This window comes from Homo sapiens, chromosome 13 (genome assembly GCF_000001405.40).
Source record: "Homo sapiens chromosome 13, GRCh38.p14 Primary Assembly".
NCBI classification, from domain to species: Eukaryota; Metazoa; Chordata; class Mammalia; order Primates; family Hominidae; genus Homo; species Homo sapiens.
The window spans coordinates 32,050,004-32,072,020 of NC_000013.11; the positions used below are offsets into that span (position 1 = coordinate 32,050,004).

The 22,017-nt window shown below is 38.7% G+C and overlaps 1 protein-coding gene across 5 annotated transcripts in view; it reads left to right on the top strand.

Annotated features, from left to right (window-relative positions):
- FRY (FRY microtubule binding protein) overlaps positions 1 to 22,017 on the top strand; it is a 267,352-nt gene that overhangs the window by 18,230 nt on the left and 227,105 nt on the right. Inside the window, exon 1 of one of the 5 annotated variants that reach the window (XM_006719749.4) lies at positions 10,859 to 11,160. The exons of the other annotated variants lie outside the window; for them this stretch is intronic. Coding sequence (XP_006719812.1) covers positions 11,100 to 11,160 — 61 coding nt within the window. The 5' untranslated portion in view covers positions 10,859 to 11,099. Of the gene's footprint in view, positions 1 to 10,858; positions 11,161 to 22,017 lie in introns of those variants that run through there. 5 annotated transcript variants of the gene reach the window in all.

The window sequence follows — 22,017 nt, forward strand, 5'->3', positions numbered from 1 at the left end:
TCTCTTGACGATACTCAATTGATTTAATATTCCAAATTAACACAGTGGTGTTGTATAGCTGCTATGTAAAGCCCCTATACATTCATTTTATAGTTATTCCCAGGTCATAGATTGGCGGAGATTTTCTTTGGTTTTGTTTTTCAAGGAAACACACATTTTAGATGGCCACATGACCTTAAACCATTTAAATGTCAAACAAATACCTAATGGATACTGCATAGCTTGTTGGATTACTTCGGTATAGTTTTAGAGTATCAATTCATCTAAGTTGTCTAAGCACTTTTTACATATGACAATCTCTCGGAAAAATATAGTGTAATTTTCATAGAAAACAAAGGCATCATGAAAGCTCCCAAAGATAACACCTCTTAAGAAACAAGTTCAAGATGATCTCTGTCAGGTGCTTTTATTATATTCAGAATTATATATGGCTTGGTCCTGCAGTGACACACAGGCATTAGCAGTTGTTTCACCTTTCTTTCTATCCTTCAGGGATAGCAGTGTGCTTTCCTGGGCCATGTATAGTTGCATAATAAACCCTTCTAGGAGAAAATGTCTCCTAATCTTAGGGGAATTTTTGAAAGCATATTTTGCTGTTCTTATGCCACTTCAAACTCCATCCCATTAGGCTAGTTGAATCAGATTCTCCCAGTGCCTCCTCCCCACCCTTATGTGAGGAAGTTTTAGCAGTCATGTTAACATTATGGGCTGACAGGGCATGACACTGACTACTTCAGAATGCCACAGAGTACTCTGGTGACAATTATTACATGATGGCATCACATCAGTCATCACATAAGAAAGTAAGACAGAGGTGCACCTAACTCTTCATAATGAAACAACAGGTTGTAAACCTTACACCTGTACTATCTTGTGCACTCTCAGTTCTCTGAATAAATATTGCAAAATAAAGAGACCTAAAATTAAGTTTTAATTATATCCACCACATACGCATTTTAGGAAGACCCTTACAACATAACATGTCAACAGACTCTGAAAAGCAACAATGAGGATTATTCAGGGAAACAAATCTATACCAATATGGTTGAGAATAGAGGTAATAACTTAATCTGAGTGGTTATACAGCCATAAAACTCCATTCATGTAGATACATACTTAATTATTTCCGTTTCCTTCTGATTTGGGAGCTCAAAATTATTTTATCCCAGGATGTAGTTGGGTGAGGAAAATGACCGTTTCCCTTTTATTTGGTTAAGGGAGGTTTTGTGGTATAAGTGGGACTTTTACAAGGTCTTTGAAGGAGAGGATGGGTTGGCAGGATTGAGGGAAAAGACATGTCAAGCAAAAAGTGTGTAGTTGGGAGAGGAAGAAGCAGAGGAAGGGAGTGGTGAGATGACTGGCAAGAGCAGATGGAAGGGAATTAAAGAGCTACCTACCGGAATGAAAAAGAAGCCCAACAAAAAACCCTACAGACATTTGCCAGTTTAGCTTTCTGCTTAAATATTGAGCTTGTTTTCCCCAGCACCCGAATTACTCCTGAGTTTTCAGATGGATGCTAACTCTGTGAGACGAGTATACTCTATTTACAAGATGAAATGATTCTGCTATAGGAGTACTCTATGTCAAAATAGTGGTTTTGTTAATGCAAGTTTGTATCAGGAAATCACAATTTTTCAATTCAATTTTACCAGCTTTTCTTCTCACATGGATGTGGTTTTAAAAAATTAAAGATTTCAACAAATCAACCAATATTCATTGAGGACCCACTGTGTACAAAACACTGCAGCAGAAGCGATGATAATTTGCGAAGTATGAGGTGCTTTCTACAAAGAAGTAGGCAAGGTGGAAATCCCTGTGATATTCAGAAAGAATGAAGATGTCAGTATAGGAGCTAGCACAAGACAATGTGTGATCAATCATAACATGGATGATATGGTTAGAGCTAGAGGAAGATTAAGATGTTTAAAAATTTTTTCCCTAGTCAGTTTTATATTTTTGGTTTTGTAATAGATTTGGGTGCCATATAGAAGTATTTAATATCAGAAATCTCTTTTATGATCTTTTGCTGCTCAACTTCTAGGAGGCAATCTGGTATAGCAGGAAGAGTACAAACTCCAGAGATGGAAAAGCTATATTCTAGTCCTTTTTCCTGGCATTTATTGAGTGTGCTGTCTTTGACAAATTACTTCAGTGTTCTCTTCTATAGAGTGGACATAAAGGTGACCACCTCCCAGTCTCACCTGGCCTGATACTTTTTGAAGTGATCAATAAATGTTATTGAAACAATAAACCAGTATTTCTAATAACTTATTTGTGAATATATATGACTACATGCATTTACTAATCCATAAAGACACAACACTAGCTTTTTCTGAATAGTTTTCCATGTTTATCTGCAAAATTATTCCCTGTGTGTCTAAGTTTTATAAAAAGCGTTAATTGGTCTAAAGCAGTGTGCCCAACGCAATACCAGGCATGCATGTAATTCTAAGTTTTGTAATAGCGACATTAAAAAGAGCTTAAAAGCATTGAAATTTTCATAATTTATTTTATCTAATTCAATATATCTAAAATGTTATTTCAACATGTAATCAGCATAACTATTAATAAAATATTTTACCTTCTTTTTTTGAGGAATTCAGAACTCAGTGTGTGTTTTACACCATCAACATATTTAAATTTGAATACCAAATTTATCCAAAACACTTGATCTGTATTTGTATTTAATAAAATTTACAGTTGAAAAAGTACTTTCATATATGCAGATTTGTCCAAACATACTTAAAACATTTCCAATAACTGAACAAAGTGTCAGTTTTTAAGTTTGAATTTAAATTAATTACAATAAAAATAAAAATTAAGTTTCTGGCTGGGCACGATGGCTAATGCCTGTAATCCCAGTGCTTTGGGAGGCCGAGGCAGGCAGATCACCTGAGGTCAGGAGTTCAAGACCAGCCTGGCCAACATGGTGAAACCCCGTCTCTACTAAACGTACAAAAATTAGCCAGTGTGGTGGTGTGGGCGTGGAGTCCTATCTACTCGGGAGGCTGAGGCAGGAGAATCGCTTGAACCCGGGAGGCGGAGGTCGCAATGAGCTGAGATCGCACCACTGCACTCCAGCCTGGAAAACAGAGCGAGACTCCATCTCAAAAAAAAAAAAATTAAGTTCCTTAGTAACACTGACCACATTTCAAGGGCTAAGCAGCCATATGTGGCTAATAGCTACTGTATTAGAACACAAAGGTAGAATTATTTCAAATAGTATTCTCAGAAAGTCCCAGTCTTAGACAGAAGAGTTATTTTATAATATAAAATAATGACATTCTTAGACTGGATTTTATTTTGGGAGTTGTCTCTTACCGACTATGCTTAGTAATGACTTCTGACACTCCTCAGCTTATCATTTGGCCTGCTAGATTTATGACATATCCTTTGAATGAAGCTCTCTAGATTACTTGGCCTAAAGAATGTATAGATACTATTAAAATGCTGCAGGACAATTGCTGTTTCTTTATGTATACACCTGACTTCATCGTCTTTGCAGACGAACTGTCTCGGTCCCAGACTGTGTTAGTTTTCCAAGGTCCCACGGCTTGTTAATGGCAACATCAGCCTATGAACATGGACTTACAGGTCCATAATGCCACAGAGTCCATACTTGGCCTCATTTAAGTGCACATGCGTCCCTGATGCACTTTGGACACTTAAGAGTCTTCCCTGAAGGAGGATCCTTTCTTGGGCTGTATTTTTTAATCCTCAAAAATATAATCAACTCAAAATACAAGGTGAAATATGGAAAAACACATGAGCTAGACTAGGTTGTCTCCTTCTTGGGTAGAACAGGTTGTGGGGATGAGGATATTAGGCAAAGAGGCCTTAGTAGTAAAAGGTTGTGTGGCTCTGTGCCTTCTCTATGCTCCTTCACTGCACAAGGAGAATCGCTTGAACCCAGGATGCGGAGGTTGCAATGAGCTGAGATCACACCGCTGCATTCCAGCCTGGGCAACAGAGCAAGACTCTCTCTCAAAAAAAATTAAAAATAAAACAATAAAAGATGCTTTGTTAAATGAAAATAGTTGTTTACTTTCATTCTAACCGTGCCTCTAGTGAACAAGTCACTCAGAACTGAACTCCCATTGTCAGGTTAATTTTTATAAGTTTTTAGATGTTTTGAACGAAAATATGAAAACCCTGCAGAAGTGTTTATCCTTTACTGTTAACAGGATGTCATCTTGAACACACCCTTTTTTTTTTGTTGTTCTGTATGACTATTCAGGAAATGTTCACAGGGACTGTGAAGGAATTCTGGGAGGTATACTAACTAAATGGCACCACTTGCTTTGTTGTTATTAATTGTATAAATGCTTTTTAGAATTTATGCATTTATCAAGTGATCATTTTTTTACATCTTGTCTTTTGATTTTCTGCATTCAATTTGCTAGGAGTTTAAAAACTAGACCAAAAAAAAATAAAACTTGCTTGGGTTGTGAATAAGAGTTGGGCTTGAAGTGAGACCTTGCATTAGTCTATGTATATCAAGTACGTAGATTTCTGACACCTATTTGGGGCAGAGAAATGTGTTAGTTTCCTCAGAGAAACCCCTGAGGCTGTTTAAAGGTAAGAAACAGGCTGGGCGCAGTGACTCACACCTGTAATCCCAGCACTTTGGGAGGCCGAGGCAGGCGGATCACAAGGTCAGGAGATCAAGACCATCCTGGCAAACACGGTGAGACCCCGTCTCTACTAAAAATACAAAAGAAATTAGCCGGGCATGGTGGTGGACACCTGTAATCCCAGCTACTCGGGAGGCTGAGGCAGGAGAATGGCATGAACCCGAGTGGCGGAGCTTGCAGTGAGCTGAGATTGCGCCACTGCACTCCAGCCTGGGCGACGGAGCGAGACTCCGTCTCAAAAATACATAAATAAATAAATAAAGAAAATAAAAGATAAGAAACCAATGAAGCACAGCAAAAGCAAACCCCAAGTTCTTTTGGTTAACTTCCTGATTCTTCATTATGTTTTGAGTTATAGATACAAGGTTACCAGCTAGAGAGCTCTGTTTTACTATTTATTTCTTTATTTTATTATTTACTTCTTTATTTAGAGACAGGGTCTTGTGTCGCCCAGGCTGGAGTGCAGTGGTGTGATCATAGATCACTGAAGCCTCCTTCCTGGGTTTAAGCCATCCTCCCACCTCAGTCTCCTGAGTACCTGGGCCCACAGGTGCATACTACCATGCCCAGCTAATGTTTGTGTTTTTTGTAGAGACAGGGTTTTGCCATGTTGCCCAGGCTGGCCTCAAACTCCTGGGCTCAAGAGTCTCCCACCTCGACCTCCCAAAGTGGTGGGATTGCAGGAATGAGCCACCATGCCTGGCCTAAGATGGAAACTATTTTAAACCCTCCTATGGATTCCTCTACGTGGGAGGATGGTTTACTAAATACTCTGTTCTCTTTTATTATTAAATATTCCCAAGGGCCATCAGTAGCTTCCAAACCTGGGTACACATTGGAATCACTTATGGAACCTTTAAAAAGACAAATTCTAGCCTTGCCAGGGATTCAAATTCTGTAGGTCTTCATGAGGCCATTGAGTCTGTACATTTTATAAAGCTCTCTCCATCTTTGGGTAAACTTTGGGATTTTGTCAGACCCCTCTCCAAAAAATAATTGAGTTCAACTCAAGAAACAGAACCTGTGCAATAATCCTTCAAAACAGTATAATTAAAAGACTGAGGGCAACAGAAAGATCAAATGAGGAATTACACATATAGAACTGGGGGTACCTATAAGCTGAGTAATGGAAATCAGGAAAACTTTTTGGAAAAAGAACATTTAGTGTACTTCTAATACATTTAAGTTAGTATACCTTCCAGAATATTTCTCATTAACATAGAATCCCTTCTGATTTTTCTTTCCAAGGTTGGGTTTAAGAATACACCTGGTAGGCTGGGCACAGTGGCTCACACCTGTAATCCCAGCACTTTGGGAGGCCGAGGTGGGCAGATCACGAGGTCAGGAGATTGAGACCAGCCTGGCCAATATGGTGAAACTCTGTCTCTACTAAAAATACAAAAATTAGCTGGGTGTGGTGGCATGCGCCTGTAGTCCCAACTACTTGGGAGGCTGAGGCAGGAGAATCACTGGAACCCGGGAGGCGGAGGTTGCAGTGAGCTGAGGTCGCATCACTGCACTCCAGCCTGGTGACAGAGCGAGACTCCATCTAAAAAAAAAAAAAAAAAAGGAATATACCTGGCAATTTATCAGAGAATGGGTGATCTTTGGAGGTTTAAAGTGAGCCTCTGTATAGGTTCACACAGTCTGTGCCCAATAAGTATCATACACCTGGTTAGTAGAATGCTGCTTCACCAGTAGCTTGCTGTCAGAGGTACCCTGTGCCAAAACAAACCAGTATTTTCCTAGTGGCCCTCCTAATACACATTTTCAGGTTGCATTTGTTTGCTGGATATGTCTTTAGGTAATGACATGCTTGGCAAATGCTACCTACAACTGTAAGCCTATTTAATAGCCAGTACTTCCCAACACAATGACACATTATCTTTTATGGGTTCCCTGCCCTTATTATGGTTTCCACAGGGAAGAGGCCAGGCTGCAGGTGATGTTTGCTTATGTTGTGCTCCATTTGGTTCCTCCCTTAAACACAGCCTCAGAGGCTCCTTGTCTCTGAAAGTTTTGTTAATACAAGTGAATGAATATATTCTGTACTATGTTATATCACTGAAAAATAGTGAAAATACATAATCCTTTTGGCACTGGCATCTATTGTTAATTGCCATATTTCTGTGAAAATATTTTAACTCTTATATTTACTGAATTGCTAGGAAGACTAACATGTATGTATCTCATACAAATAAAATGTGACCATTTTATTACTGAAATATTTCACTGATAAACTGAGGTTCTAAAACCTCAGTTTAGAGAAATGTTGGGTTTATAAGACCAATTATGAAAAAAATAAGAATCATCACCAGCAAGTGTATCCTCTCACTTCACAGTTTTGAATGAAATAGGCAGGGTTACAATATGATCATTTTAAATGGTGACTTTTCCTGTAAGTTGGAAAAAAATTCTTGAGTTGATGTGCAAAAGTTATTTCTTGCTTCCCATAGTAAAATAGAGCGGGGAGACTATACAATAAAGTAGGTGGATAGAGTCCAGTAGGTTACATTTATTTTTACTTTTTTTTATTTTTTATTTTTTTTTTAAGACAGACTCTCACTCTGTCACCCAGGCTAGAGTGCAGTGGCAGGATCTCAGCTCACTGCAACCTTCTGTCTCCCGGTTTCAAGTGATTCTCCTGCCTCAGCCTCCTCAGTAGCTGGGATTACAGGCACGTGCCACCACACCTAGCTAAATTTTGTATTTTTAGTAGAGACAGGGTTTCACCATATTAGCCAGGCTGGTCTCAAACTCCTGACCTCAGGTGATCCACCCACCTCGGCCTTCCAAAGGGCTGGGATTATAGGCATGAGCCACCACACCTGGCCTAGTAGGCTACATTTAGTGAGAGTAGTTGTATGATCTAACCTTTATGCTAATAAGTAGCTATTGGCCGGTAGCCTAAGAACAGTCCTCCCAGAAGCAACAAGGTAAACTAAACACACTCAGGAACTTCCTTCCTTGCAGATTCTAAGCCCGTGAAGGTAGATGCATTGGGTTCACCTTTCGTTTGCACTTAAAAATATTCGCAGTCAGCCGGGCATGGTGGCTCACACCTGTAATGCTAGCACTTTGGGAGGCTGAGGCAGGCAGATCACGAGGTCAGGAGATGGAGACCATCCTGACTAACACGGTGAAACCCTGTCTCTACTAAAAAATACAAAAAATTAGCCGAGTGTGGTGGCGGGCACCTGTAGTCCCAGCTACTCGGGAGACTGAGGCAGGAGAATGGCGTGAACCCGGGAGGCGGAGCTTGCAGTGAGCCAAGATCGCGCCACTATACTCCAGCCTGGGCAACAGAGCGAGACTCCGTCTCAAAAAAAAATAAATAAATAAAATTTACCGTCTTGCCATCAGGCCACACAGAAGCAGAAAGGAAACTTTTATGAATATTAGATTAACTGTTAAAGAAAAAGGAAGCATCAACTTTAAAGTCATTCATTCAATTAATATTTGAGGGTTGTTATGAAACTATCAATTAAGTCAACAATCCAGTTTATTTTATTTATTAAATTTAGTTTACATTAATATAGTTTAAAATATATGACTTTTTTTGGAATCATCGGGGAGCCAACAACCTATAAGTAAACTTCCCCTAATCATGAAGGTTAGCCCTGGAAATAGCAAATCATTTTAATAATTTTGAATACAGTTTTTTTCTAAAAAGTATTTTACTGTCTCTGTATCTGTTGCATAAAATGCTATCATAATTTAACCACATCTAAATGAATTCAGATCATCAGTAAATATTAATTATTAGAGATTTTATAATATATGGATACCTTCAGGGCTTTTGAAATGTGAAAGGCATTCTCTTTCTATACTAAAATATCTGTAGCCTGCTTTGCTTTCTAAGTTTTATGTCTGCTTTGTGTTTTTGTTCTCTGATTTTTCTATTAATATCAGCCATCAGCTGACAGCTGTCACTTACACTGTCAGTATGCCTGACCTTAGGATCCTTCACCTGTCCATGATTTTTTGCTTTTAATTTAACATACATTTGACGGAGGAACAAGATTATGTCTAATATAGGAGAACATGGGCTTCAAGTGGGGATAGTCAGGTGAGGTGGAGGGCACCAAAGGTGACTGCACTCTGGAATTCAGCTATATTTTGGATATGCAGGATATCTGGGTAAAAAAAAATATGTATACATTATTTGAGGCATCTCTTAAATGTATACAAAGACAAATACTCTAAGGCTGCCATTGTTTAGAAGTCTCAATCATATTAAGGAAAACACTAGAATAAAAATTAATAAATGTAGTGACACTGGAGTCTGATAAACCTGTATTTGAATGACCCTGAGCAACCTTATTTTTGTTCTTTTTCATTGACTCTAAAATGTAGATGGTAATGCTTACCTTATAAGGTTACTGTGAGGACTTAGTGAAATAATACATGGAAAGTGCCTAACCTAGGATCAGAATCAAGGTCAGTCCTCCTTCCCTCAAATGTTAGCTTCCTTTTCTACCTTTTTTTCTCTTCACTTCCCTTAGTATCTATAAAAAGTAGGAAAGAAGAGGATACTTTTTTTTTTCATATTCCTACAAGGCTGTTTTAAGTAATGTTCTTTTAGTTGAATGACAGTCACATCATTTGAGAGGTTAGTCTAATAATAGCACTGGAGACTTGAGGATGACAAAGTGCGAATTTTCAGTTGGGTCTGGACTCCAATTTATTTATTTATTTGTTTATAATCAACATGGATTTATTTGCACCTGACCACTTTTGACAGAATTAAAAGGAGAAATTGTAGACTTCTACAATTACATTCACAGATTTGTGCACTACTGTCTCAGAAACTTAGGAAGCAAAAAAAAAAAAAAAAAAATTTATAGAGAATGTAGTATTACACTAATGAGATAGTGAAGCAGAATTCCATTTTCTTTTTCTTTCATCTTTTTTTTGTTATAGATTTAGGGGTGCACGTGCCGTTGTGTTACATGGTGATATTGTGTAGTAATGGTGTGGGCTTCCAGTGTACCCATCCCCCAAATAGTGTACCTTGTACCCAGTAGGTGGTATTTCATCCCCTCACACCCCTCCCACCTTTTGGAATCTCCCATGTCTATTATTCCCCTCTGCATTGGATTCCTAGTTATATACAGAATGAGAAGGACTTTACCCTCTTCTGTCTGTACACAGATAACTCCATAGGCACACTACTGTCTTTTAATGGTTTTGACTTCCTTTAGTAAAATGTAAACCAAATACCACATATTCACCTCTGTCAACTCTACAGAGGCATTCTAAACCCTGAATGTGTAAAATGCAGGAGTAGCATGGGGCATCTTTGCTGGTGTTTAGCTCAGCAGAATCACTTTAAGTGTTCATTTTGGTAAACTGGACATTTTCTTTCTTCCTGTGAATTGTTTCAGTTCATCAGTCAATTCTCCTTCCATGCTGTTTTGTAATTACAACCTATATTGCTAAAGAAAACCTTCAATTTACCCTGAGTAAATCAAGAATAGAAAATTACTTGGGTTTCGGTCTCTTCACAGCTGAAATAAATTTTCACTGACCCTCATAGAATTCTTCTCTCAGAAATAATGCCCATAGAAAGATCAATTCGTTACACTTTTGTTTTTAAGTAACTTTGCATTTTCCTTCTCAACCTCATTAACCTAAACCTGTTTTCTTTTGAAGGCAGAACACTTAACATTCTCCAATATTGGCTCCATCTTGGTTTTATAAATGAAGTTTTTAACAAGTCAGTTTAGGCTGTGTCTTTTAAAATCATGTAACTATAGATTTGAATCCAATCACTTTTCTTTGCAAGTTATGTCAACAGATGTTCAGTGTTTCATTTTCCTTAAGGGTGTATGGTTTCTCGCTGACTCTTGGCTTCAAATACAGATTCTCTGCTGTTGGTTTTGTCTGTAAGCATGTAAGCTGTTGAAAGCTGTTTGTATTCATGGCCAAGAGCCCCTAGTTCCCAGAGCAACAGTTTATCACTCACCCTGTGTTATCTTTGCTCCTACCTTTCTTGAATCACAGGAACACAACCCCAGCCCGTTAGATCCAGGGGGCAGCGTGTGTATTTGCTATGCATGGACTGTTTATGGCAAACTGTGTGGGTCGGGCTCATGTTCCTGGAGTGCTTTGAGCAGCTTTACTAATCTGTCAGTATAGTATGTTCTTGTGGATAAATATAGACATACGGGCACTCTGTGAGTTGTAGGTCACTGTCTTACTGTGCAGCTAAAAATTGTCCCATTGGTATGAACAGTCTGCCCTGGACGGAAGGCCTGTTTTAGTTTGTCTTCTACTGTAGGTCTTTAGCACCTGACTAAAAATACACCTGGGGCCAAAAATATAAGGGCCCTGCATTGTGGCTGAGACACTTATGGTGGCAGTGAGCAACAGGACCATGGAGCCCATCATTATGTGTTTTGGCTTTGGAACATGGTCTGTGTAGCTGTTCCAGACTGTTAGTTTGGGTTTCTTTTCAGGCTCATGGAGATTACAACTGCTTGTTGGAGACGATCCTGTGTGATCAGCTTCATAAAAGGGCTTGGTAGGTATGAAAGGCTGTTAATATGTGTGGAGTGGCTAACTGGTTGTTAAATGCTGAGTATGGGAGGACTCTTCTAAAGGTTTCAGCGGATGGGGGTGGAGGTAGCAGTTGCATCTGCCTGCAGGGATTTACTTATAATGCCATTGTTCAGAGACAGGAGTAATGCTTGAGGTGTTACATTTGAGATTGTTATATTTTGGAGGCAAGATGTCCTTTTTGTATACGAGCCTGTGGAACAGGCAGCCAGGATACAATGGAATTTTTCTGTGCACTTAACTTTCACTAAAAGATTTGGTATGACACTGCAGTAAAATTGCTGCTCTGTAAAAACAGCTAGTATATATTTGAAAAATAATTAATAGCATCATATTTAATATTATAGTAGAAGTAGGATTTATGCATGATTTCTTCTAAATATTAATGTTAATGCCCTTACTTGTTTTGTTTTAAACATTGCAGTAGGCCTAAAAGCAGTTTTTTTCTTCATTTTTGGCTTAGCCTTGTTCAACATGTAAAAGATAAAATATTTTTCCTTTTTGTTTATAAATTTAAAAACAGGACACCGTATGTTAACTGACATTAAATGGGTCCAAATTGCATGCCACTGCTTTTCCTTTATCAGACAATAACACAGTTACATTAGTTCTAACATAACATTTTAAGCAATATTGTACAACATTTCCAAAAAACTAGTGAGAGGAAACATCCATGACACAGAGTTAATTACATGCATTTTGGATATCGGCTCTTTAATTTTTTTTAGTGAAGGTAGGAGAAGTTAACTTGTGAGTGGTAAAGGCACAACATATTGCTCTAATCAAGGAGAAAGATTTTGTTTACTAAAGATTTGGGAGATTGAGTTGCTTGCTAATTATTCCACTGCACTATCTCTAATGAAATTACTAGAAGTTTACATATGATAGCCTTCTGTTTCTAGGAAAAAAAAATCCTGTTAGTCATTATTTTACCCCTTACTTTTGTGGTTTATAAAGCGTGCATTAAGGAACTTTTTTTTTCCTCCCAAGGAATTTTTTTTAGTGTATAACAAGCATACAAGATAAATGATTAAATTTATGGTTTCAGGTATTTGGAAAAGGTTGCATCATTATAGGACTCATATGAAATGCTAAATATTTCTATTGTATGGCATCCCTTGAGGATGTTACTGACCGTTAGTGTATTTTGGCTGAACAGACCACTCCCACAGTCTCATGAACATGTTGACTCCTTTTTCACTCATTGCCTTTCTTGCTCATAATAAAGTTTATAGTGAAGTTAACTTTATAGTACAGTTAGTAAAGTTTTAGGTATTAAACTTTACTATAAAGGCATCAGAAACAACTAATCTGCTTCTGTGAATTGGTAGATTTATTACCATCTTAGATTATAAATTTCTGGTGAGCATGTATTAAGTGAATTTTATGTCTTTGTACATTTCCATAACTAAGAATTTAATAAAACCTAAAATATTTTTTAAATGAGCTGGTATCTAAATGAATAAGCCCATATGAGCCAAGAATTTAATAAATATTTACATGTTGATAAAATCAAACACCAGCAAGACTGAAAAAGATTTCACTTATTCACTTAACTCATCATTGAATAAATGTTTATTGAGCTTCTGTTGTAAACACTGTACTAGAAGCCCTTTGCTTGCTATATATAGATCTTGGAACTGTATATAGTTACCATATGTATTTTATAATGGCATATATATACCATCACATATATTTTATAATGCATATATAATGCATATGCATATATATGCATATGTATATTAGTATATACATATGTATGTGTATATATTTTATAATAGAATGCATACTATAATGTATATTGTACTTGTGTATAGGTATATAATTTTATAGTATAATGCATATTATATTAACAAAGACACCTGTAAGATTAGACTGTCCTTCAAGTCACCCTCTGCATCATGTAATCCCCAAGGGGACCCTGGCGGGGAACAGCTATAACTTTAATTTGCGATGTTTATTTGTCAAAAGATGGCAGTTGCTGGCACTGTCTTTGGCAGACCCCCCACCACGTCCAGTTTGCATAGTCTTCAGTGTCCCTTTATGTTGGGTCCCTGTGTAATGCATTTGCCAATTCAGCTGCAGAAAACATCACCATGGTGTTCTTCTCTTGCCCTTGGTGTTTGACTTAAATATGATTCTAATAAAATAGCTCAAGAAGCTGGTTTGTCGTTTCTGGCAGGGCTCAGTCTAATGCCCAGATAACAGTATGGGAAATACTACTAGCTCCTTAGCCTCCAGAGCCTTTTGACCATGACCCACAGTAAGAACCACACTTTGCATTGTGACCCAGAACTCACACACATACATATCTGTAGACACAGACAGAGTCTGAAAACAACAGCTTTGTGAAACAGTGCTTCCCTCCTCACTGTGCAGGATGCCACCAATCTGCTATTTTTCTCTTCTCCTGTTTTCTGTTCTATTTCATCAAAATCAGGCTGGTCGGCACCCACTAAATTATTTTCATGATCCAGTAACGGGCCAGAATCTGCACTTTAACGAACTCTGCTTTAAAGATTCCAACAGCTAGGCATTCACAACATACCCTTAGTCACGTTCTCAGCAGAAATGACATACTGTCATCCTTGACATACTGTTCTACTCCTGAGCATAATTGGCGCTTTATTTGTCAGAGTATTGCTTTGTTGCAGAAAGAGCTCTTCTGGTAGTTCTGATGCGAGTCTTGGGTTGAATGTAAGGTTTCTAAGCTGGAGACAATGCATGACCTTGTACATATTAACACTTCCTTACTCCTTAAAGCAGTTAAGTATTTGTTGAGTACTTGATATTAAGCCTAGTACTGTGCTAGAAGGTGATGCTACAGGACGAATAAAGCAAATTCCTTGCCCTTGTTGCAGTTAAGTGTAGTGGGGGAGACAGATAGGAAATGCGTATATAATATGTCATAGTATGTCAAGAGGCAGCCAGAACCCTGGATGACAGTAAAGATGATACAAACTGTTAGCAGAGGGGAGTACCAAGGAGTGGCTGGCCAGAACAGACTCTCATAATCCTAGAAGGAAGTGAGCATGTGAGCCATCACCACATTCCCCCCACCATTCATAAATTCCTACAACCCCTCTGCCCCAGTTCTCTTCCACTTTGAAGGTTTCCCTGACTGTCTCTATCAACAGTTATTTCTAGTTCTCAGCTTAAGTGTCACTATCCCAAAGTCCTGCCCCAACCCCCACAATCACAGATATGTCCCCCCTGCATCTCTCCTGCAGCAGCCATTGTAGCACTTCTCACTTTGCAATTATAGTCCTGTGTGTTTTTATTCTATCATGCCTCTCTCCCTGCACACTGTCAGCTGTGTGAAGCTACGAGCCATGCCTATTTTGTTCCCCCAGCAGATAGCCCAATACCCCAAGTACACTGGGCCTTCAGTAAATAGTCAATATGTGAATAAATGAACAAATTAGTGAATGAATACTCTCCTAAATTCGTGTGCTCATCCATTGGCTGTTCAACCTGGCTGTTCAACCTTTGGCTGTTCAACCTAGTGGCATACTGTGACTGAATAGATTAAACTTTAAAAATCTTCCAAGCTGTCTTTTTGAATCTATCTTCATATTCTCCACAGAACTTTGCAGAATGCCTTATACTAAGGTCTTAATGAAAATTCTTTATTTAATGATTTGATTAATTGATCACACTCATAGTCTTTTGAAGCGAAAATAGTTCTGAAAGGGCCGTAATCATGTCATATGATAAAAGATGCCTATGTAAATGACACCTCCACTCATCCTTGCTGTGTGTTATGCCTGTAAATACTCAGGCCAACATTCAGTTATGCAGACAGTTCAGTTACTCAAACCTATGTGATTGAACCTGAATTACAGATGGTGTTCAATTCTTTAATATAGTAATTTATTTTTCAAATTGAGGTTCTAAGATGGCATTCCTTTATTATTGCCATTGTAAAATATAGGAAACTTTTTATAAATGAGTCTTATCTTTTAAAAAATATTTATTATGAAGTGTTAAACCCAAAAGGAGAAAAAATTAGGATAATATGTAACATATTGCCATCACTCAAATTCTACAGTTATCAAGATTTAGTCATGTTTGGTTTATTTGTACCTTTATTCTTTCACTCTAATTAAAAAAAAATTTTTTTTTGAGACAGAGTTTTACTCCATTGCCCAGGCTGGAGTGCAGTGGCACAATCTCAGCTCACTGAGACCTCCACCTCCCGGGTTCAAGCAGTTCTCATGCCTCAGCCTCCTGAGTAGCTGGGATTACAGGTGCCCACCACCACGCCTGACTGATTTTTTGTATTTTAGTAGAGATGCGGTTTCACCGTGTTCCCTAGGCTGGTCTTGAACTCCTGAGCTCAAGCAATCCTCCTGTCTTGGCCTCTCAAAGTGCTAGGATTACAAGCATGAGCCACAGCGCCCGACCAAAAAAATTTTTTTAGAGAGAGTCTCACCCTGTTGCCCAGGCTGGAGTGCAGTGGCGCAATCATAGCTCACTGCAGTCTTGAATTCCTGGGCTCAAGCGATCCTCCCGTCTCAGCCTCCCAGTAGCTAAGACTGCAGATGTGTGCTACCATGCTCAGCTAACCTTTAAATTTTTTTTTGGTAGAGATGGGGTCTCACTGTGTTGCCCAGGCTGTTTACAAACTCTTGGCCTCAAGTGATCGTCCTGTCTAGGCCTCCCAAAATGCTGGGGTTAGAGGCATAAGATAATGTGCCCAGCCCTTGTTTCTCTTTGTTAAAGTATTATGAATCAAATATAGACATCATTTCATTGAACCCCATATAATCAGTATGCATTCTAGGAAATATAGATATTTTCTCATCTACCCACAATACTATTATCACATCTAATAAAATTGACCGTAATTCTTTGCTATCACCTAATATCCAGTCCATACTCAAGTTTTTTATAATCCTAAAAGGTCTTTTAACAATTGGTTTGCTTAAATCGGGGTTCAAACAAGGTCCACGTATTACATTTGGTTGTTTTATCTCTTCCCTTGACCTGTAGAAACTGGTACAGTTTTCCTATAGAACGAACCTACTTCTGGATTAGCTATTTTGCTTCCTTATGGTGGTAACATTAACTTGTTCTGTATCTGCATTGTCTCTTGTGAATGCACATTAGCTCTAATGTTTTGAAAGCATGATGAATGTGGTCACAGGGCAATATATGGTTCCCCCTGGTCATAGGTTATACTCCAAAGTCATTTCTGTTCCATTACTATGATAGAATAGAACTGTGTCACTCCCAGGTATACATCCCTAACAGTTTTCAGTGTGTAGGTACAAGAACTCTGACCAATATATTGCCACAGGTTGGGGATTTTGAGAAAGCTTCTAGAGTCAGTGTTCTAAAGCCACTTCTTCAGCACCTTAATCATCATAACAAGTGCAGGTCTGTTTGTGTAAGATGTAGGATCTTTTTTTCTGTTTTAACAGGCACCAGACAGGTTCCTGCCTTCATTAGTCTTCTCATGGTAGGTGCAGTCATCTTTTAGTTTGTGTTGTCCTTCCAAGCAGCCGCTTTTTCTCCCAATTTACACAGCAACATGAGATCAGCATTCTTTCCAGAAACCCACTGGCTCCCAGTGGCCCTCAAAATAAAGTTCACATTCATTGGTTTGCCATTTAAGACCTTAGTTCTAATGCTAATAAGTATTTTAAAACCTACATTTTTACAGGACTTAAGAGTTTATTAAGTTTTTCATATATGCTCTTCTTTATTTCATCTAGCAAATACTGTATTATAGAATTGGTTGGGTTCAGGTCCACAAATATTAAGTGAGCACAGTTATTTACTTAATTGTGCCATGCACGGTGCTAAGTGCTGGTGATAAAGACAAGAGATAGTCTTGTTTTTGAGGACTCTGCAGTTCCTTGGTGAAGACAAATTTGAACAGATATACTAAGACCAAGGATGTGTGGTAGGAGGGTGACAGGAGGAGGGGGTAAGAAGAGACACTTGGCAGATGCCTCTCTGTACCTGCCATGCCATTCCATTTGCCCGAGTTGCCCCTTTCTCTTCCCTACGTATCAGAATCCTACCTATCCTTTAAGACCTGGGTCAAATGCCACCTATTCCCCAGTGTCCACCTACTGCGTGGCCCAGAACAGAGACTAGGCCTAATGCGGGGTTAGGTTAGACACAAGTCAGACTTTCAGTTCGTTTTTTTTTCTTAATGTTAACAAAAGTCTTGAGTTTACAGGTAGGAATAAAGACAGGCTTCCCCACTGTCTGCCTGCAGTTTAGGGAGTTTCCAGGCTTAAAATTTAATGAAACCAGAGAAGTGAAGATACAACTGGAAAGGTCAGGATTATTTGTCAAGCTTTACTCTGTAGAGAGGATAGATGATAGAATCTCCCTAATTCATATAATTTAAGGGAAGGCAAGTGTTAATTGTTAAGTGTTTGAACTGCAGAGATTTTGAACAAATGATGTTTTCATACATTTTCAGGGCATACTTTTATATTTCATAGAATAGTAGAGGTTGAAAGGACAATCTAACCTAGCCTCTTTAAGAATAACAGGTAAGGACGCTGAAGCCCAGTTGGTCCAAGTTCCTTCCCCAAGGTCACCTGAGAGCCACATTAGAGCTTAGACCTTGGACTCTGAGTTCAGTGTTCTTTCCACTATATTTTACCTACAAAATGTTAATTTTGTTGGAGTTAATGAAGCATATCAGTTTTTCTATAGGCAGATAAGATTAGAAACAATTTTATTAACTGATTAAATTGCCCTCCTTTTCCTTCCTATTTATTTCCATCAGTGGTGTCAGTGTGTGGTCCCAGGGCAGCAGCACCAGCATCACCTGGGGACTGGTTAGAAATGCAGACTCTCCAGTCTCACCCCAGACTCTGACACTGAATTGGGGTAAGAGGTGTCCAACCTTTCAGGTGACTGTGATGTGCTAAAGACTGAGCACCAGTAATTCAAATTGTAAGTCAGCAGATGTTTTTTTGAAGTTAAGATTTAAAAATTCAAGGTCTTGTCCAAATAATCTACACATTTTGAATTTGTAGAGTTCACATTAATGATATTTTGCGGCATAAAATGAGCAAGCAGAAGAAGAAATTAGAAAAGAGAAGAAAATGAAAAAAGGGAGAAGAGCCAGCAAAGGACACCTGAATGAGAGCAGTTGGTCACTTCTCTTAGGGAGAAAAAGGAAGTTGAAATTCAGGATTATCCTGCCTCTAGCAGGTTATTCGATCTCCTTTTGGTGAGAAAGGACCTTGAAATGTCAATGTAACCTCATCTTCCTTTGCGCACGGATCTTGGCAGACATTCTTTCAGGCTCTGATGACAGTACCTACTTTGAAAATCAGGGGAACGTCCATGTAATCGCATCTTAGCAGATGACAGACATTTATAAAGGAAATCACTGAAGTGTTACTGTCATATCTCTCAGATAAAATACTGGAAGGCAGAGGAAGACAGAAAAGAAAACAGGGCAGACACTTGTTGCTAACTTTCTCTTTATTGAACTGCTTCACTCTCTCCAAGGTATTCAGTCTGGGGAGACCAGAGACAAAAATGGTTTTGAGAGAACATAGACTGAAGTAAGCAAAGAACTGTGCCTTCAAGTAGACTTGCTCTTTGTTAGGATAACAGGCAGTTAAAATTTATATCATCAATGTATCTAGGAAAGAATAGTCTTTAGGTCTTTCTAAGGTATGTGTGTCATTAATCAGATCTCATATATTTTTATGGATCCTCCATGTTCAATTCTTTTTTTTTTTTTTTTTTTTTTGAGACTGAGTCTCGCTCTGTCGCCCAGGCTGGAGCGCAGTGGCCTGTTCTCGGCTCACTGCAAGCTCCGCCTGCCGGGTTCACGCCCATTCTCCTGCCTCAGCCTCCCAAGTAGCTGGGACTAGAAGCACCCGCCACCACACCGGGCTAATTTTTGTATTTTTAGTAGAGACGGGGTTTCACTGTGTTAGCCAGGATGGTCTCGATCTCCTGACCTCGTGATCCACCCGTCTCGACCTCCCAAAGTGCTGGGATTACAGGCATGAGCCACCACGCCTGGCCCATATGTTCAATTCTTTTTCGTACTCCTAGCCTTTCCCAAAGTCCCTCTAACGGCTAAAAAGTGCATTTTCATTCACGAGGGCAGAGAACACAGAGGGAGAGACCTTCATGGCCTAAGGATATATTAGTCTTTCCGGAAAGTATACAACTATTCTAATCATAGGAAACCCCATTCTCCAAATTACAACGTTTATGTTGTATTTTGTCATACCCTGAAGTCCCAAAACTAGCTTACACCAGAGCAAAACCTATGGGTAAGGGGACAGTCTTCAACATAGGCAGCTGATTTGTTTTAAAAGACAGTCTGGGAATGGTGTGATACCACTATACCAGCGAATGAGGAATGGATACAGAAACTGTGGTATATACATACAATGGAATATTATTCAGCCTTAACAAGGAAGGAAATCCTGCCATATGCAACAACACAGATGAACTTTGAAGACATTATGCTAAGTGAAGTAAACCAGTCACACAAGGACAAATATTGCATGATTCCACTAATTTTTTTTATTATACTTTAAGTTCTAGGGTACATGTGCACAACGTGCAGGTTTGTTACATAGGTATACATGCGCCATGTTGGTTTGCTGCACCCATCAACTCATCATTTACATTAGGTATTTCTCCTAATGCTATCCCTCCCCCAGACCCCCACCCCCCAAGAGGCCCCGGTGTGTGATGTTCCCTGCCCTGTGTCCGTGTGTTCTCATTGTTCAGTTCCCACCTATGAGTGAGAACATGCAGTGTTTGGTTTTCTGTCCTTGTGATAGTTTGCTTAGAATGATGGTTTCCACCGTCATCCATGTCCCTGCAAAGGACATGAACTCATCCTTTTTTGTGGCTGCATAGTATTCCATGGTGTATATGTGCCACATTTTCTTAATCCAGTCTATCATTGATGGACATTTGGGTTGGTTCCAAGTCTTTGCTATTGTGAATAGTGCTGCAGTAAACATACATGTGCATGTGTCCTTATAGTAGCATGATTTATAATCCTTTGGGTCTATACCCAGTCATGGTATTGCTGGGTCAAATGGTATTTCTAGTTCTAGATCCTTGAGGAATCGCCACACAGTCTTTCTTCCAAATGGTTGAACTAATTTACACTCCCACCAACAATGTAAAAGCGTTCCTATTTCTCCACATCCTCTCCAGCATCTGTTGTTTCCTGACTTTTTAATGATTGCCATTCTAACTGGCATGAGATGGTATCTCATTATGGTTTTGATTTGCATTTCTCTGATAACCAGTGATGATGAGCATTTTTTCACGTCTGTTGGCCACATAAATGTCTTCTTTTGAGACGTGTCTGTTCATATCCTTTGCCCATTTTTTGATGGGTTTTTTTTTTTTTTCTTGTAAGTTTGTTTAAGTTCTTTGTAGATTCTGGATATTAGCCCTTTGTCAGATGGGTAGATTGCAAAAATTTTGTCCTATTCTGTAGGTTGCCTGTTTACTCTGATAGTTTCTTTTGCTGTGCAGAAACTCTTTAGTTTAATTAGATCCCATTTGTCTATTTTGGCTTTTGTTGCCATTACTTTTGGTGTTTTAGTCATGAAGTCTTTGCCCATGCCTATGTCCTGAATGGTATTGCCTAGGTTTTCTTCTAGGGTTTTTATGGTTTTAGGTCTAACATTTAAGTCTTTAATCCGTCTGGAATTAATTTTTGTGTAAGGTGTAAGGAAGGGATCCAGTTTCAGCTTTCTACATATGGCTAGCCAGTTTTCCCAGCACCATTTATTAAATAGGGAATCCTTTCCCCATTTCTTGTTTTTGTCAGGTTTGTCAAAGATCAGATGGTTGTAGATGTGTGTTGTTATTTCTGAGGCCTCTGTTCTGTTCCATTTGTCTATATATCTATTTTGGTACCAGTACCATGCTGTTTTGGTTACTGTAGCCTTGTAATATAGTTTGAAGTTAGGTAACATGATGCCTCCAGCTTTGTTCTTTTTGCTTAGGATTGTCTCGGCTATGCAGACTCTTTTTTGGTTTCATATGAACTTTAAAGTAGTTTTTTCCAATTCTGTGAGGAAACTCATTGGTAGCTTGATGGGGATGGCATTGAATCTATAAATTACCTTGTGCAGTATGGCCATTTTCATGGATATTGATTCTTCCTATCCATGTGCATTGAATGTTCTTCCATTTGTTTGTGTCCTCTTTTATTTCATTGAGCAGTGATTTGTAGTTCTCCTTGAAGAGGTCCTTCACATCCCTTGTAAGTTGGATTCCTAGGTATTTTATTCTCTTTGTAGCAATTGTGACTGGGAGTTCACTCATGATTTGGCTCTCTGTTTGTATGTTATTGGTATATAGGAATGCTTGTGATTTTTGCACACTGATTTTGTATCCTGAGACTTTGCTGAAGTTGCTTATCATCTTAAGGAGATTTTGGGCTGAGATGATGGGGTTTTCTAAATATACAAGCATGATTCCACGTATATGCAGTATCTAAAATGGGTAGATTCATGGAATCCAAACGTAGAATGGTGGTTGCCTGGGGCAGGGGGACAGGGAAATTGGGAGTTGCTAATCAGTGGATATAAAGTTTTAGTTAAGCAAAATGAATAAGCTCTAGTGATCTGCTATACAATTGTATGTATAGCCTAACAATAATATATTATACACTTAAAAATTTGGTAAGAGAGTAGATCTTCTGTTAACAAAATAAAATAAAAATTATTTTTTAAAAACACAAAAATATATTTAAAAAATAAAAGACAGGGCGATATGGGAAGCTCAAAAGATAACGTCATCACATTCATGGGTCAGATCCTGAGTTGACCACTCTGTAACCTGGGAC